This window comes from Homo sapiens, chromosome 21, assembly GCF_000001405.40.
Source record: "Homo sapiens chromosome 21, GRCh38.p14 Primary Assembly".
Lineage (NCBI taxonomy): Eukaryota > Metazoa > Chordata > Mammalia > Primates > Hominidae > Homo > Homo sapiens.
In genome coordinates this window covers 13,936,108-13,955,648 of record NC_000021.9, presented here as the reverse complement: position 1 = coordinate 13,955,648, position 19,541 = coordinate 13,936,108, and the positions used below count along the sequence as shown (strand labels likewise).

Here is a 19,541-nt window from a genome sequence, read left to right as displayed (position 1 = left end):
GTATTCCATGATGTATATGTGCCACATTTTCTTAATCCAGTCTATCATTGTTGGACATTTGGGTTGGTTCCAAGTCTTTGCTATTGTGAGTAGTGCTGCAATAAACATACGTGTGCATGTGTGTTTATAGCAGCATGATTTATAATCCTTTGGCTATATACCCAATAATGGGATGACTGGGTCAAATGGCATTTCTAGTTCTAGATCCTTGAGGAATCGCCAGACTGTCTTCCACAATGGTTGAACTAGTTTACAGTCCCACCAACAGTGTAAAACTCTTCCTATTTCTCCACATCCTCTCCAGCACCTGTTGTTTCCTGACTTTTTAATGATTGCCATTCTAACTGGTGTGAGATGGTATCTCATTATGGTTTTGATTTGCATTTCTCTGATGGCAAGTGATGATGAGCATTTTTTCATGTGTCTGCCATACATCACTCTTTAGAATTCTGGTGACAAATTCTTTTTCTGGGTGGAACATTGATGGAAAGTTCCAGTTTTCTCTCTCTGTTATAATAATGTTCTTTCAGGTAGTGGTAGTTGACCATATTTAGCTAATTGAATGTCTTATAGTAATAAACTCTATCACAGAAGTACTTACAAAAAACTAATTGTAGCATAAATATTAATTAGTATTATCAGGGATATGAAAGACCAAAAAGCTCTGTTATAGATCTATTTCCCCATGTACTTTATTGTACTTCATGTTGTTTCTTTTCTTTCTTGGCTTAAGCTCATATTTCGTTGACCAATTAGGCTTCTTTTTTGTTTGTATCTCTCTTCATTCTCACATTTTAAATTGATATTTTTGGGGAGTCAGGGTCTTGCTCTGTTGCTCAGGCTGCAATGTAGTGGCATGATCTTGGCATGCTACAGTCTCCACCTCTCAGGCTCAAGTGATCCTCCCACATCAGCTTCCCAAGCAGCTGGGACTACAGGCACACACCATCATGCCTGACTCATTTTGGTATTTTTTGTGTAGAGATGTGTTCTCATTATGTTGCCCAGGCAGGTCTCAAACTCCTGAACTCAAGCAATCCACCCACCTTGGCCTTGCAAAAGGCTGAGATTACAGGTGTGAGCCACTATGCCTGGGCAACATTGAAACTGATTTAAATAAATTGATTAGGGCTGGGTGTTGTGGTGCACACTGCTTATCTCAACACTTCGGGAGGCAGAAGTCGAAGATTTACTAGAGCCTAGGAGCTTGAGACCAGCCTGGGCAGTATAATGAGGCCGTGTTTCTACAAAGATAACAATAGAAACATTAGCATGGCATGATGGTATGCACCTGTAGTTCCAGCTATTCAGGAAGTTGAGGTGGGAAGATTGCTTGAGGTCAGGAGTTTGAGACCACAGTGAGCCATAATCAGGCCCCTGCATTCTAGCCCTGGGTTGACAGAGTGAGAACCAGTTTCATAAAAAGAGATTGACAAGAAACTCTTGATGCAACTCATTATAATTTTAAAATGGAAACTAATTCTTGATACTACCTTAGCAGTGTGTCCCCAAGAAAGTGTCAGAGCCTTTACGTGGACCTTCCCATGGAAAAGGAAACAGAATAGTCAATGGAAAAGGAGAAGGTGAGAACTGTATTTTATTTAAAAAGTCATTTGTTGGAGGCTGGGTGCGGTGGCTCAAGCCTGTAATCCCAGCACTTTGGGAGGCCGAGGTGGGCAGATCACGAGGTCAGGAGATCGAGACAATCCTGGCTAACATGGTGAAACCCCATCTCTACTAAAAATACAAAAAATTAACCAGGTGTGGTGGTGGGCCCCTGTAGTCCCAGCTACTTGGGAGGCTGAGGCAGGAGGATGGTGTGAACCTGGGAGGTGGAGCTTGCAGTAAACAGAGATCGCTCCACTGCACTCCAGCCTGGGTGTCAGAGTGAGACTCAGTCTCAAAAAAAAAAAAGCCATTTGACGGAATGTTTCTTTGAAAATATGAGCACTAATAGAGTCTAACAGCAAAGAAAATGTCCTATTAACTATATAATAAGTAAAGGAGAAGTGAAATGGTGATAAGTTGTGTCTCTAACCAAGGGTCAGCAGTTGATTCTATTGGGAGTACCACTAAAGGAGCTGAGTTGTGAGTTCCATTTTAAGATACTCTAAGACCTAAGGCAAGTCAGGAGAGAGGGAAGAGGAAATGAATAAAAGAGAAAGAGAGATGAGGAGGGCAGAGTGTACATGGAATAAATAAAAACACATATGTGGAAGTATGTAATAGAGGGTAGTAAAGTCACATTGATCTGTAGAAGAAGGAAGAACAGGGTGTTAGAAATAGGAAGGAAGATAAAGTGAACTTCCATTACCAACATGTGTCAGAGAATTAGAGTAACATTTTCCTACTCTTGCTGTCATCCTCACTACTGGGGAGGCATTAAGGATTGAGGTATTTTACCACACAGACCTGTGTTTTATCTACCATAGATGAACATCACCATAAATGGTCAGCCATATATGGCTATAATTTGGTTTTAAAGAAAGTGTAACCTCATAGGATAGTATCATATAGGCCAAATTAACGTAATTGAAAAGAATAGTGTTGGGTGATGTATGGAGAAGTAATTAATTAGAGAAGGTATTACCTGATTAAAAGTTCATTAGAAACATTATGGCTTATAATGTAGTATTAAATTCAGAGACATAATAGGGAAGAAATTGAGGCTAGGCCAAAAAGGGCAATTAGGGTAAACTAATATGGAATCACATAAAGTGTAAAACAGGGCATTCAGATCATCATGAATTAGTTGAGGAGCTTCTGGAAACTGCACATTCTGATTTAGCAGGTATGGGAGTCTGCATTTCTCATGAGTACTCAGGTGATGTTGTTGCTGGTCCTTGGACACAGCTCTAAATAGCAAGGGAATAGCCTTCCTTTAGAGAAATCTGGAAAAAGAACCACTGGAGAGCAATTTGAATAATAACAGAATCCAGGGAAAGCATTAATTTCCTTTTATTTCTGAGCATGATTCTAGCCACAGGGGAAGGAAAATGAGATGAAAAAAGAGAGATTACAGGTGTATACTACTGCTGAATACAGATGAAAAAAGTTGTCACAATTATCCATAAAAAGCAGTTAGGAAGGGAAGCATCAGGATGACAGATCTAAAAATCACTTTTTCAAAGGAAGAGGGATTGTGAAAGGACACAGAGGGAGGAAAGAAAGACATTTGCTGGGGTCTTGGGAGTTAAAGCCAAGTAAACTTGAGACAACTCACTTCCAGTTGCTTCAGCATATGCCCAGTCTCACAAAAGAGGTTATTGCTGTGGAGAGTACTGGAGGCAGGAGGGAGTGCTAGAACTGGGGTAAACCACAGCAGCTCATTTCACTTCATAATTTTCAGGCCTCAGAGAGAGAAGTTTCATTGACATGAGTGAATAAGATGTGATTAAGTTGCATATAGATGCTTTGGCTAATTTTTTTTGAGACAGCCAGTTCTTTGATATGATAGCTGCTTTATAAAAGTCCTTTACAGTGTAAGATGATATACCAAACTTAGTTAATTTTAGAAGCAATTGTATTATAAAATTCATTTGTGAATACCAAAATTCTCATTTTCAATAAATACTGCACTGATTTTGAAATATAAATGTGTATTCGTATCCAGCAAGTCTGTGGTAATTCAGTGTTTTCTTTTTTGCTAAATATTTTGATATCGGAAGCTTATTCGACATGGTTTATTTGATGTGTTTTATGGACCACCTCACACAAGTGGATCAAGGAGCTCTAACTCAAGGCCAAATGAGGGGATAGGAGAAATGTAGGTGCTGCAGTAGCCCATGTGATCATGGGAAAAATGAGTAGTTTGATTAGCTGTTATTTCATAAGTGTGTATCCTAGCTGATCAATGTAGAACACTTTCTTTGATGAGAGGTGAATCACACATTCACCTGAACTGTCATCCCAACTGTATATTTCCTAAGTGACAGCACAAGGGGAATTTGTCTGTGACATGCTGGCAGCAATGCCTCTGATGTGTTGAGTTAAAATACTCTGTACATTCACCATCAGCTTGGACATCGATTCCCCCAGGTTTGATTTGCTACTCTGTTTAGTGGTCCCTTTTCTTCTCATTAGCCCACATGTTCACGGTGATATCCATGCTTTTCTACTTTAGGTATAGGCATTTGAAACATAATCTCACTACTGAAATGTAAGCTGTGCATTTTAGGAATCCTGTATTCCTATTTTCCTCATTAGGTTTCTGTCATGTTGCTGTCCTAGGCAATGAAAAGAAGAAGCCAAGAAGAACCCTCAAAACTTTAAGTAATTATTTTTGTAGCCAGGCATGAGAATTCAGCTCGATAGTAACACTGCATGAGTGTTTGGTTGGCCCTGTCATACTTACATATAATTGATGACATATCCCTTTTGCTTTGTAGGACCTCCTGCAAAACATCCTTCCTTGAAGGTAATTAATTATGTATATTTTTTGAATCACTAACTCCACATTGTATAAAATATATATGATTTATGAATCATTTTCTTTTAAAACCCATTCAGCCTAGCACTGAAATGGAAGATCCTGCTGTGAAAGGAGCAGTACAAAGAAAGAATGTACAGACATTGAGAGCAGGTACATATTCAATACAAATGGAATGCTGGAAATAAGTACATTAAATGATTGGAAGTACTCACATTATTCTTACCCCTAATTCTGTTTGTTCAAAATTGAATGGAAGGCATTGACATAAATATTATTGTTGGTATCCATATTTGAATAAAAATAAATTTAGAAGCATAAAAAGATTTTAAAAATGTAAGCTTTAACTCAGATGTTTCTCTTTTAATGTTTTGAATAGCATGAAGTTTTCAGTATAAAATTTTTATATTTGTCAGGGATTCAAAGCACTGAATTTTGAGACTCTAAGATATTTCCATTGATTTATGTGCTAGTTGGAGTTCTGATCTTTATGTAGAGGAAAGCTTTACTTATTAACGTGTCAGTTTCTGTTTTAACTTTAGAGGCGTGCTGCTAGTGTTATTACACTGATGATCTGAAGCCAATCAGATGTTCTAGTGAGCAAGACTGTGTGTGGATGTGTATGTATAGGTGTCTGTATGTGTGTGTTTGTGGCATCTTTGACTATGAAAAATGAGGAAAGTAATTATTCATTTATAACTGGTAGACACGGTCCTTTAAAATGGTGATTTTGAGACTTTTTGGTGTTAAGGTTTTAAAAACATGGTTGCATAGAGGCTACCAACATCATAAGTTGGTTGTTTTTCATTTCAATGCCCTTTTGAAATCTTTAACTATATTGTGATGCTCAGAAATAATATGCAGAATTTTTTATTTGTGTCCTAAAATGGTATGTGAGTGGTTATACACTTTACATACCTTTCTGCCACTTTCTTTGGTGTATTTTGTATTATATTTTCCAGATGTACCCACATTGATATGATTATCTCTGGTTTAATTCATTTTACACTTTTCATTGTATTCTCTTATACCACTTTACCACATTTAGTTAGACTCTCCTGTTGCTGATAAATGAAGAAAGAAAGAAAAATAAAAATAATGTCAGAGTAAGAGGGCTTTTCTTTAATCAGTTTGTATCTATTAATATTTACTATATGAGAGTTTAAAGTTGAAAAGTTCAGAATACAAGCATGCACCACCATATTTTATAAATGTCCTTAGAAATATGACTCGTGAGCCTTTAGCCTATGAAGTTAGGACAATTCATTTCTCTGAAGAAGTTTGCTGTGCTATTCTCAGAAAAGAAAACTGAAAATAGCAAATGATATTGTCTTATTTGACCTCTTGGACATCCTTGAATGAAACTGAAACTCCAGGGATACTCAGATCAAAATTCAGAACTAATGTTTTGAACAATATAGTTTGTGAATGTCCAGTGATCATGAACCCTTGATGGGGAAATGACCTTTCAAGTTTCACTTTTGCATTTTTTGCTCTTTTCCTTGACTTGTCTTAAAAGCTTAAATTCAACCATTTTATTTTTACAGAAACCAGGAATATAACTTTTAAAATATATGTCTGTCCTGTCTCACGGTGTTGTGTACTCTTCAGATCTTTTGTGAACATAGACTTATATGGGAACAATTATGTTTTTTGTTTGTTTGTTTGTGTTTTTGAGACAGAGTCTTGCTCTGTCACCAAGGCTGGAGTGCAGTGGCTCAGTCTTGGCTCATTACCACCTCTGCCTCTCAGGTTCAAGCAGTTCTCCTGCCTCAGCCCCTTGAGTAGCTGATACTACCTGCACGTGCTACCATACCCTGCTAATTTTTCTATTTTTATTAGAGATGGGGTTTCAGCATGTTGGCCAGGCTGCTCTCAAACTCCTGACCTCAGGTGATCTGCCCACCTTGGCTTGCCAATGTGCTGGGATTACAGGCGGGAGCCACTGTGCCAGCTACAAATAAGATCTTTAAGACTATTATATTTTATACAATTCTTTGGTCTATGTGAATTCTGAAGGTATTCATGCATTGAGGGAAGATTATATCAGTTTAATGAAAGCAGTTTTTAATTTAATGTTTATTCATTAAAATTTTTTTTGAAGTTTTTGTCTCTAGTACACAGAAACACACAATATTGTCATGGGTATTTGACCTTATTGTGTTTATGCACAAACTTAGTTATTCAAATATTTTCTTATCCCTGAAGAATCTTAATTACTAATAAACAAATTTCTCATGGAAAACAACATATATAATAGAGATCGTTGAGTGATTGAAAGTAAATTGTAGTAAATAACAGAAGCTTAGAGCAAGTTAAGTAAACTTGTCTGAGTTAATAGCAATTACAGGACTTTTAAAATACGTTAGACCATGAGGGAGTGGTGTGTTTGTGGGGTAGAGGACAACATGGTACTGCTTCAGTGAAGAAAGAACTTTTAAAACTTATTACAATTTGTATTACTATTTACATTCTAATAAATAAAAACTTTATTTTCAGATATTTTAGATTATGTTTCTACTAGTTGAACCATCAATAGTAAGACTTTTCAAAGATTTGGGAAGTTGTGAGTTGACGATAAATATCTGTATCGCCATCCGTGATCAAAAATCAGACAGCAACTACAGACTTTGGACACGCGAACTTCATAGTTAAAGAAAGGATTAATTTTGGAGCTGTGTTTCCATCAGGGAATTATACTCTTCATTACCTGCATGAATCGCAGTTATTAGAGTAGAAAGAGAGCAAAGAAGGGAAAGAAGCATAGAAAATTTTATTCTAGATTACCTCAGTTGGCTTCATGCTACCATAGTTCTGACTTTTAAAAAGTCATTTTGTGGTCCAACGTACTTTGTGTTTACTCCCCTTATGCAGCCTACAACCAAACAGAATGCTTCTTAGCAAGGCATTTGTATTCTTCCCTTAAGGAAAGCAACATATAAATAACAAAGAGAATGAAGAGAAAGAGTAATTTCATTGAGGTTGTTATTTAACATAAATTTGAGTGTGGGTACCATGATTATATTTAGAATTTTGGGACAGGATGGGAAAAACAGCTAGACATCTACAGATTCCCTACTCAAACACAATGTGCCTTTGTTTTATTTTTACATCTCTAATTTTGCAATTATTCAGTACAACTGTATGCAGTGTCACTAAAAATACCTTCCAAAACCAAATATTAAATAATGCCTATGGATTTCTGTTTTATAGTGTTGATTTTCCCAATATTAATGGGAACCATTGAGCATTTGCCTTGTGGTGTCTCCTCAGCTGTATTCACACATTCCATCACCTTGTCTTAATGGATAATCATACACTAGGAGTATGGGTTTTAGAAGAGCTGTGTCATTTAAAGATAACACAGGAGCATCAAATTTAATTCTGCTAGAACACCTGGTCTACTGATTAACTGCAGCTAATGTGGGGTCTACTTCACATACAAGTTAAATTCAGTGCCCTTAATCAGTCATATGATCAGGTCAACAGTAATAAATTATGCAATATTTTTCCCCCACCCCTATAGTTTTAATTTCTTTTTCCCCTTATGTCTAGAATTAACATTTTGTTTTATAAAACATGATGATAATCTTCTAGAGTAGTGATGACAAGCTATAAATCCAAAGTTTCTTACCTATGCAAATGACTTGTTTGCTTCTATTTTCTCATGAGCTTGGTAGATACAGGAAACAGAACTTTTGAAACAAAATCCCCATATGTGGCTGGGGGCCGTGGTTTGTGCCTGTAATCCCAGCACTTTGGGAGGCTGAGGCGGGTGGATAACCTGAGATTGGGAGTTTGAGACCAGCCTGACCAACATGGAAAACCCATCTCTACTAAAAACACAAAATTAGCTGTTCATGGTGGCAAATACCTGTAATTCCAGTTACTTGGGAGGCTGAGGCAGGAGAATCGCTTGAACCTGGGAAGCAGAGGTTGTGGTGAGCTGAGATCATACCACTGTACTTCAGCCTGGACAGGAAGAGTGAAACTCCATCTCAAAAAATAACAACAATGACAACAACCACCACCACAAAACCCAAATGCATTTCCTTGGCACAGTAAAACTGAAACAGAAAAAGTGTAAAGTAAATACAAGTAACTGAAACAGTTTATGTATATTATCTTACTTCTCATTTGATAAAATTTGTAAAGTAATGAGCAGAGTGTATTTCTCCAGGGACCTGGATATATACATTTATTCATTCAATAAAAATTCATTCTTATAATGGCCACTGATACCTATATCCTAAATATTTCTGAAAACATCTCCTCAGGCCTGCATCATCTTTGCAACATTGCCTTATATTTTATCTTTGTTCATTTATTTATATGCCTCAGAATTTTATGCTCCTCACAGTATTTAGAGTTAATTATCTCTAATGTAAATAGATCCATGAACCACTCCTGAATACCTAATGTCCAAGCACCTTAAAGCTTTATATAAAGATTTCAGAAACTGACTTCTGGGTTGGGCATGGTGGCTCATGTCTGTGATCCCAGCACTTTGGGAGGCTGAGGCAGATGGATCATTTGAGGTCAGGAGTTCAAGACCAGCCTGGCCAACAAGGTGAAACCCCATCTCTAATAAAATACAAAAAATAGCAGGTGGTGGTGGCACGCACCTGTAATGTCAGCTACTCGGGAGGCTGAGGCAGGAGAATTACTTGAACCCAGGAGACCAGGTTGCAGTGAGCCAAGTTCATGCCACTGTGCTCCAGTCTGGGAGACAGAGTAAGACCTTGTCCCAAAAAAAGAAAAGAAAAGGAAACTGATTTCTGCCCAAATCTCCATCCGTAGCCCTTTCCCCATCTGCCTTTTTCTCTGGAATTACTCAGCTGCTGGTAATGGCCCCCTCACCATTCCTCTTTTGCAGAGAAATACATACTCTCTTGGAAGCTTCTCTCCCTCTCTTGTTGCTGCCTGGCATGTGCTCACCCTTTCCTGCCCTCTGCCTCACTTAATCTGGCTAACCTCACTCTCTAAGTCTCAGCTCATACATAATCTTTAGGAAAGCCATCCCTGACAGCTTTTATGTTCCTTCCTTATACCCCAGTGCCTAACACTTAGCAGGAGCTCAATAACTAATTATTTGGCAAAATTAAGACTGTTTATACAAAGATTATTCAAAAGATTGTCCTCTACAGTCTAGCAGCAAAGGGGATCGACATGTAAAGACATGATGTGCAGTTCAGGTGGTAAAGTGACACTAGGAAAATTGACAAAGTACTAAGGGACCGCAATGAAACAGACACCTGTGTGTGTGGAGAAAGATAGCTAGAATCAAAGAAGACTTCACACAGCATTCTGAGCCTTTTTTTTTTCTTTTTCTGTTGTTGGAGACAAGTTCTTACTCTATCACCCGGGGTGGAGTGCAATGGCGTGATTGAGACTCACTGCAACCTCAAACTCCTGGGCTCAAGGGATCTTCTCACCTAAACTTCTTGAGTAGCTGGGACTACAGGCACATATCACCATACCTGCCTAATTTTTTGTAGAGTCAAAGTTATCTATGGTTCCCAGGCTGGTCTTACACTCTTGGCCTCGAGCAATTCTCCCATTTTGGCCTTCCAAAGTGCTGGGATTACAGATGTGAGCTATTATGTCCAGCCTACTTTCTGAGTCTTAAAAGATGAAAATAAATTTTTCAGAATAGCAGGGGAAAACATTTGCAATGTAAAAAATGGGGTGCACACTAAGATATAAACAACAATAATTTTGCAAATTATTAGTAACTGCCAACTCAATTAGTGTCTTGTTAAAAAGATACTGTTATGTACATTGTATGTTTTGACTGTATTTCAAAATTTTGTTTTGTTTCCAACAGTTTTGTTGATTTATGTTGGGTGGAACAATTTGTGAGTGACCCTGAGATTTTGTATGGCTTGAACCTGGTGATATCTAGTGTCTCCCCAAGTGGTTTGTTGAAGTTTTGGATAATTAGAAGTATTTCTTAAAGAAGTAAATATTTCAGTAAACCTTAAGCTTCATTTAAACCCTCAAAATATAAAATACAAAGAAATATTATTTTCTATTTATTTTTATAAAGATTATAGTCTTATCTAACTGTTCTTAGTTCATTTGAACTAAAACAGTGAATTTGTCAACAGAAAAAGCCTTACCAGTGGCTTCAGAGGAAGAGCAACAAAGGCGTGAAAGAAGTGAAAAGAAGCAACCACAGGTATATGAAAATTTAAATTTCTTGTTTAATATTAGGTTTTTTTTTTTTTTTTTGCTTTAGTAACAAAGCGTAGTCCAAATGACATGACCTTTTGGACTATACCTTTAGAATCCAATAGGTCATAATTTTATATTTAATTTTTAAAACATTTTAACCAGTTATGAAACTTAAGATATTCTTACTATCTCTAGTAACTATTCGTTATTCTAGTAATTCTTACTATCTCTAGTAACTCATAGCTGTCTTTACCCTTGGAATTGAGGCAAGAATTTTTCACAATTATCTTGCTCTTTTATTTGTATAACCTTACTCATAATACAGAAGGTAACATGAAATATTGGGTCATATTACTAAGGAATAGAAATTATGAACAATTTAACAACAATGGCCACTGAGTTAAACTAGTGTTAAAGGAGTCATCATTGCCAGTGGTTCAAATGTTGCAGTTTTATATTGCTGGTCACCAGTGCCGAGGTTAAAGATTTATTCTGTTTTGTGGTCGCCAGTTGACTTCTGTGTTCAGGGAGTGAATGGGGTCATAAAAGTCAACCCAGTTGCCTTTTATGAGAATCCTACCTTGCAGAATGGGACCTTTGGTATCAGGGTACAAACAATAACTTTATTTCAACATAAATACATAGTAAATATTACTAAAATTAAAAAAATCCAAACACTATCACTAGTGGAACTTAAAATATATTAGAAGTGGATATGAGCAGAAAATCTATTTAGATACATAACACTATCATAGTATATCATTTGAATTAGAATTTAAAATTTTGCTTCTCTTTCTTATTGTTGTTCAGTTTGGCTCTTAATAATTTAGTGTTTGCCTAGTCTCTAGTTAATCTTCAGAAATTTACATGCACTGTAGGGGCTCACTCTTTCTGGTATGCCGAGGTAAACTCTTTGTAAGAGAGGAAGCTTTTATAATACTACCTATCATCTTTGAATTCATTTCTGGTAGACTTTACACATAATGCATTAAGTTTAGTCCAAACAAACACTGAGAGTTCAGCTTGCCGGTTTATGTTTCTGTCCCGTGTTAAGCCAAGGCAAATTATTTTTCACTTTTTAGTTACAATCCCATAATTTAAGAGGGGCAACACACAGATTAAGTTTCACAGTTAAATTTTAATTATTTTCTAATATTTCTTTGTTTATACTTGATTAAAGCTAATTTTAGAACATGCACTCTGACAGAAAAGACATCTGAGAAACAAAACAAGCAAATTTGTTTTCCTTTTTGCACCTGCCAAAAAAAAAAAAAGAAAAGCCTCAAGAACCAGAACTGGGTAAGAATTGTGATAAAGGGAATCTATCTGTATATTCATGACTTTCTTTAAAATTCATTACAAGCAAGTTCAAGCTGAATATTGGTAAAAGTTTTGAAAACTCCAAAATTACTGCTTGCCCTGAGGAAGAGCTTCTACATAGTAACTCTAAAGAGGGACGAACGAAAAAGGAGTGCCCTCTAATCTGATGAATCAGGTCCCTGATTGTGAGGAGAAAAATGCATCTGGAGGGTCTAACTCTGTGGCATTCCAGGCAGCGCCTGAACAGAGGAATCCCATGTCAAATGTCTTTTTATTCCATTCACACTCCAGGTCCCTGAAATACACTTACCAGTCATCTTCTAAGCTTCATTTAAATGAAAATAAATCAGACTATAAAAATGATAACAAACCAGACACATAGCTTGTTTCTAACACAGATGATGAAAATTTTTGTTATGATACAGAAACTGAAACATTAAGGAACCCAGTAATTATGATTGAAATGAAAGATGATTAAGAGTTTCACATGCAAATGGCAAAAAATATAAACCCAAATACCACTAATTGGAAATTAGACATTAGTCATTGGCCTCAGTCTAGAGATCCAGAAAGTCTTTTTGATTTGTGGTTTACCTACCTCAAAGAAATGAAGCATATGATTCAGATAGAAAGCCACAGTATTTCTGCTGCTACAGACACTTATAAAAACAGAAAACCAATACAGTGCTTACTCCAGAAGCCACTATATGACAATCCCAGTGCTAATAACTACAAAAGCATGAATCTTGAATTATAAAATGTGGGTTTATTCTTTGCCACATAGTGAGAGAACATCAAAAATATAGCTAGAAGACACAGCAAGATATTCCAAGGTCACCAACATGGCACATGTATACATATGTAACAAACCTGCACGTTGTGCACATGTACCAGAACTTTAAGTATAATAATAGTAAAAAAGAATGAGGTAGCATGTTACCAGTAGAGTTCCTAGCTTTGGAGAAAGGAAGTCCAACTTCAAAAAGACAGAGGTTCACTTGCTGCTTCTTTTTTCTCTTTATCAATTATTTGATTCAGTCAGATTTTCTATTCAAGAAAATCTCATGTGTACAGTTACAGTGGGGTTATCTAAATGTGTAATTATGTGTCAAAGTAGATTAGTTTTGCTATCTAAATAACGATTCTGGAGAATGTTCTCATAATGTTTGTTCATTAATCAACCTAAGTCTCCCTATCAGTCTTCCAAGTGGCATATGAGCTGGGAAACTAATTCAGCCATATACCATGTGACCTTCTGAACCAGATCAACATAAAGAAATTGCTAAAGAAATAAGCTCTAGATTCTAGATTCTTTTTTCTGTATTCATTTAGAGATGAATTACATTTATTTAATGATAGAATGGTAATACAGTGGGAGGGAAGCAATGACTGAGATGAGCCACAAAAACACGTCTAGCCTTGAGAGTTGCAATGGATATTCCCAGCCAAATGAGTCTGTTTAATGTGTTTTCATGCACAAGTTTATCTGCTTAGCTCAAACTGTTTGAACTTATAGTCCCATCATGGTTATTTCCAATATTTTGAAAACAAATATATACTTCCACATATTTTAAAAAATCACCACTCTCCAATATTTCTGTTGAATCAGACCTTACATTATGTTGTTTAATAAAGTATGGTAAGTTTTGGCATGTATGATTTTTATCACGTAAGAAGCATAATTTCTTAGCCAAAAATTTAGCCTTTGACTCTTTATAGAAAGTTGAGTTCTGTACATTGTGTTCTAAAGATAGACAAAAATCCAGAGATTTTCTTCTTTCAAAGTGAAAGCAGATGAGGCCTTTTTCCACCCTCTGAGGCATTAAATTGCTTTGCTTAAGTTAGACTTTTAATATATCTGACTAATTTGATAAATTTATCTGGTAATTTATGTAATTCAGCAATATGGAATTGTATCATGTTATTTGGTGCCATGAAATACTAGGGAATGCCACCTCAAGAGCTCTGGATGAAACATTTAATATGTCTTGGTTGGTTTGACTCCCATTATCAGTAGATAATGGGGCTAAAGTAGGTAACTGTACCAAAGGTTTTCACCTATAAACTTCTGTGGTAATAGAATGTGAAATCTGGGAAGCATCTCATTTTCCATAATTCTGCACTAGAAACTCAGCAGTTTCACTCTGCTTCTTGTGTTGTGGCAAACTTTGGTTCCCATAGTTCAGGGAGAACCTTTACTTTTTTGATATCCCAGGATTCAAAAAAAAAAAAGAGAGAGAGAGAGATAAAAGGCACTGGGGAAAAGAATAGCTTAGTGCAGAAAAGGGAAAACTTCTTTACTGTTCCTGAAGCCCTACAAAGTCACATCCTCTTAATCTGGCTATTTCATGTAAAATCCACGTGGTAAAGACAGAAGACATATGTTATACCTGTGTCTTTTTATTTCTCTGTTTCTGCTAGTCAGATAGCATAAACATTTATGTCAGATAGCAAAGAGTGGATGGGAATAAAAGCACAAAATGGAGAAGAGGACTTTTTAAAATTTTGGAAAATTCTTCCATTCACTCAAACAGAAATGAGCAGACTTGACAAAAATTTCAATGATAAAATGATGAGTACCTTATAATTATAATAATTATGTATAATGATAAAATTAAAGTAAGCACAAAATACTTTTATCATTAAAATGGTGATAGTTAACCTGAATCAAGTGAAAAAATCAGGGAAAATGTTCTTTTTATTAAATAAAATAATAATTATTATTCATATTACTTTTATTAAAGGTCAAAGAAGGAAATAATACATACAAAAGTGAAAAAATACAACTATCAGAAAATATATGTCATAGTACATCTTCTTCTGCTGCTGACAGATTAACCCAACAAAGAAAGATTGGGAAAACATAACCTCAGCAATTTCCCAAGAAACTGAAGGAAGAGCATGATAGGTAAGTAAGCCTATAGCAGTGTGTTTGTTTTGTTTTGTTTGGGTTTTTTTTTTTTTGAGATGGAGTTTCTCTCTTGTTGCCCAAGCTGGAGTGCAATGGTGTGTTCTTGCCTCACTGAAACCTCTGCCTACTGGGTTCAAGTGATTCTCCTGACTCAGCCTCCCTAGTAGCTGAGATTACAGGCATGTGCCACCATGCCCGGCTAATTTTTTGCATTTTTAGTAGAAATGAGGTTTCACCATGTTAACCAAGCTGGTCTGGAACTCCTGACCTCAGGTGTTCTGCCCATCTCAGCCTCCCGAAGTGCTGGGTTTACAGGAGTGAGCCACTGTGCCTTGCCACCTATAGCAGTATTTCACAGGAGATAATTGTCATTGTGCTATAAACTAATTCAAAATGGGACTAATATTCCTTATGATTAACAAATTTTATATTTTTACCAGGGATATTTATCCCTACCTGGTAACCAGAAAAATGTAAATTAACATAAAATAAGATACATTTTGTAAAGTCATGCTGATATTTAAAAAGTAATTACTCGTGTTGGCAAATGTGAGGAAAAAGGCATTCTCATTCACTGTTGGTATATGAAATGGTAAATTAGTTCTGAAGGGTAACTTAGTGCTGTGTATCAAAATTTCAAATAGCCTGACATCCCTTTAACTCAACAACTCCACTTCTGGGACTAGATTTCCCAGGAAAACATAACTTGTGTAAACATACACACACTTATTAAGGGCATTAATTATATATTACACATAATGAACAATAGGCTAATAAATATATAAAATATATGTAATAAGAAGGTGAATTGGAAGTATTAAGAAAGAATTATAAAAAGTGTGGGGTAACAGATGTTAGACTCTTTAGCCTAGTTTTGGATGACAGTCATTTGCAGATATAGTTTTTGTGAGAGACATCTTACTCTGTAAATCATTTGGAGAGACACCCGCAATATTTCATAAAGATGAAAATTTATTTCTAGTGAACTTATACACTTGTCAATAAATAGTAACTTTAAAATTTTAGTTGATTGTAAATGACCTTTTCTAATTAGGGAGTAATTATGACTGTGTGATTTGAAAAGGTAATTTTGAACTTGTAACTTTACTGAATTATCTCCAGTATCCTTTTTTAAAATATATACTAGAGTGACTAGTAATAAAACCTTTAGCAGAATATTCTTTCCTTACTACTTTTCAAGTATATGCATTCTTTTGAAGATGTTGAAGTGAGAAATTAAATATCTGAGAACTGCAAAGGAAAAATAATCCAGAACATAGAAATTTTATTAGGATAACAAACAATATCTGCAGAGGTAGATAACAGGATAAACTGTTTATTTTTTAACAAAATGAATTTTAAGATAAATGTCTTTATCTGCAGATGCACCTTAAAACAAGAAAATGAAGAAAAAACAAATGTTAATATGCTGTACAAAAAAAAAAAAGAGAAGAATTAGAAAGGAAAGAGAAACAATATAAGAAAGAAGTTGAAGCAAAATAATTTGAACCAACTGTTCAATCACTAGAGATGAAACCGAAGACTGCAAGAAATACTCCAAATCAGGTAAATCAATCTTTAGTAAAAATTCTATATTTTAAACTTTATTTTATCAATGTAACTTATAATATCCACTTGATTTAATATATATTATTTAGGTAAAAAAACAAACCAGAAATATTATGTCATTTTTAAAAATGAGTGATGACACTTACAGGTACAATTATTAATATTTATTATAAATCTTGGCACCCACATAGGATATTATTTTATTACAAAGAGCTTTTGAAAACAATAATATGCCATAATATATACTTAGTGATAACCTATTGATAAAGATTTGTTCCCAGTAAAATTGTTCCTTGTACTTTCTCCTATTTCATATTGATTACTCTACCTAATATTATAAAGAGGAAACAGAAATTATTGCAATCACAAATAATCTCATGATATTCTTAGAAGAGCTCTATAAATTTTATCTTATTTACCACTGGTGTTTTGAAATAAAAGTTTTCTTTCATATGGATATATTTACACCACAGAAGTAACTGTGATCTGTTGGAGAAGTAGAAGTAGAGTCAGAAGTCCTGGGGAAAATCCTGTAGCTTGCTTATATTTTTAACCTTTCTTTCTCAAAATTGTGGTAACTAGATGAGTTCATCAATGAATGTATATAGGAGTGACTAGTATAATGTCTAGATTTATGAGTTAGTAAATGTAGTTCTTATAACTGACTATAAAAGTGTTAAAAGAGTCAAATTGAAATAGAATGTTATCAGTGAAACAGAACTGTAATAACTCTGGGAAATTTTATCTGTCCAAATACGTGTGAACTAAGGTTCTTACTATAGGGTGGTGTATGGGTTAGATATCAAAGTGTAAATGCAATTTTTTGATATATTTTAATTTAGTCAAATTTGTTAATGCTTTAATTTATACTTTTGAGTTTGTTGTAATTCAGGGAAAGGCTTTTCCAATTCTGAAATTCTTAAAAATTCTCTGGTGTGCATGTGTTTGTGTGTGTTTACTTTTATAAATTCATTGACTTTTAATAAATTTCTGAACTTTTTGGAATTTATGCTCTATAAGGTTCAAAATTTTGCTTCAACTTTTTCTCCAGTTGGATATCCACTTACAGTAACCTTTTTAGTGCATTGATGTGCAGGTTGTTCTTTAACTTCAGAGGTAATCATGATATGTTATTTTATTGAGTACTAGCTAAAACTTTCTTTTGTTTTATTTAGGATTTTCATAATCATGAAGAAGTGAAAGATCTGACGGATGAAAATTGCATTTTGAAGACAGATATTGCTATACCCAGACAGGAAATATGCACAATGAAAAATGACAACCTGGAAAAAGAAAATAAATATCTTAAGGACATTAAAATTGCTAAAGGAACAAATGCTGCCCTTGAAAATTGTATAAAACTCAATGAGGAAATGATAACAAAAACAGCATTCCGGTATCAACAAGAGCTTAATGATCTCAAAGCTGAGAATACAAGGCTCAATTCTGAACTGTTGAAGGAAAAAGAAAGCAAGAAAAAACTGGAAGCTGAAATTGAATCTTATCAGTCTAGACTGGCTGCTGCTATAAGTAAACACAGTGAAAATGTGAAAACAGAAAGAAACTTAAAACTTGCTTTAGAGAGAACACAAGATGTTTTTGAACAAGTAAAAATGAGTTCTGATATTTCCGAAGTAGAAGATAAGAATTAGTTTCTTACTGAACAACTTTCTAAAACGCATATTATATTCAATACTTTAAAAGATAAGTTCTGGCCGCCGCCGCTGCAGCCTGCTGGGCTGGAGGAAGCGGAGCTGGTGCTGTCCCGGCTCTCTTGCGGGGAAGCAACTGAGGGGGCAGCGCGGCGGGCCCTGGCAGCCGAAGAGGCTGGCAGGTGGCGCCGTGGGGTGGGTGCTCCTGGTGAGAGGAGTCCACTCCATACGTGCGGGCGGAGGCTGGCCCCCGAGAGCCGCCGACATGAAGAAAGACGTGTGGATCCTGCTGGTGGGAGAACCTAGAGTTGGGAAGACATCAATGATTATGTCTCTGGTCAGTGAAGAATTTCCAGAAGAGGTTCCTCCCCGGGCAGAAGAAATCACCGTTCCAGCTGATGTCACCCCAGAGAGAGTTCCAACACACATTGTAGATTACTCAGAAGCAGAACAGAGTAATGAACAACTTCATCAAGAAATATCTCAGGCTAATATCATCTGTATATTGTATGCTGTTAACAACAAGCATTCTATTGATAAGGTAACAAGTCGATGGATTCCTCTCATAAATGAAAGAACAGACAAAGACAGCAGGCTGGAGTGCAGTGGCGGGATCTCGGCTCACTACAACCTTCACCTCCCAGCTGCCTGCCTTGGCCTCCCAAAGTGCTAAGATTACAGCCTCTGCCCACCCGCCACCCCGTCTACAAAGTGAGCAGCGTCTCTGCCTGGCCACCCATCATCTGGGATGTGAGGAGCCCCTCTGCCCAGCCGCCCCGAATGGGAAGTGAGGAACACCTCTGCCTGGCCGCCCCATCTGGGAAGTAAGGAGCACCTCTGCCCAGCCGCCACCCCGTCTAGGAAGTGAGGAGCGTCTCTGCCTGACCGCCCATCCTCTGGGATGTGAGGAGCGCCTCTGTCTGGCTGCCCTGTCTGGGATGTGAGGAGAGACTCTGCCCGGCCTCCCATCGTCTGGGAAGTGAGGAGCGCCTCTGCCCGGCTGCCCCATCTGGGAGGTGAGGAGCACCACTGCCCGGCCGCCCCACGTCTGGGAGGAAGTGAGGAGCGCCTCTGCCCGGCTGCCCCAAATGGAAAGTGAGGAGCACCTCTGCCCGACCGCCCCGTCTGGGATGTGGGGAGTGCCTCTGCCCAGCTGCCCCATGTGGGAAGTGAGGAGCGCCTCTGCCTGGCCACCACCCCACCTAGGAAGTGAGGAGCACCTCTGCCCGGCTGCCCTGTCTGGGAAGTGAGGAGCGCATCTGCCCGGCTGCCCTGTCTGGGAAGTGAGGAGCACCTCTGCCCGGCCGCCACCCTGTTTAGGAAGTGAGGAGCGCCTCTGCCCAGCCGCCCCGTCTGGGATGTGGGGAGCACCTCTGCCAGGCTGTCCCATCTGGGAAGTGAGGAGCGCCTCTGCCCGGCCACCCCGTCTGGGAGGTGAGGAGTGCCTCTGCCTGGCTGCCCGGTCTGGGAAATGAGGAGCACT

The 19,541-nt window shown here is 37.1% G+C and overlaps 2 pseudogenes across 1 annotated transcript in view; both read left to right on the top strand.

Moving 5' to 3' along the window:
• The window catches only part of ANKRD20A11P (ankyrin repeat domain 20 family member A11, pseudogene), a 36,676-nt pseudogene extending 24,796 nt beyond the window's left edge, over window positions 1-11,880 (top strand). The window contains exons 2-6 of the transcript NR_027270.1: window positions 1,499-1,583; window positions 4,389-4,417; window positions 4,510-4,582; window positions 10,540-10,610; window positions 11,787-11,880. The product of NR_027270.1 is annotated as an ankyrin repeat domain 20 family member A11, pseudogene (transcript). The remainder of the gene's footprint in view (window positions 1-1,498; window positions 1,584-4,388; window positions 4,418-4,509; window positions 4,583-10,539; window positions 10,611-11,786) is intronic.
• A 6,243-nt stretch (window positions 11,881-18,123) lies between these two features.
• RHOT1P2 (ras homolog family member T1 pseudogene 2) lies at window positions 18,124-18,656 on the top strand (annotated as a pseudogene).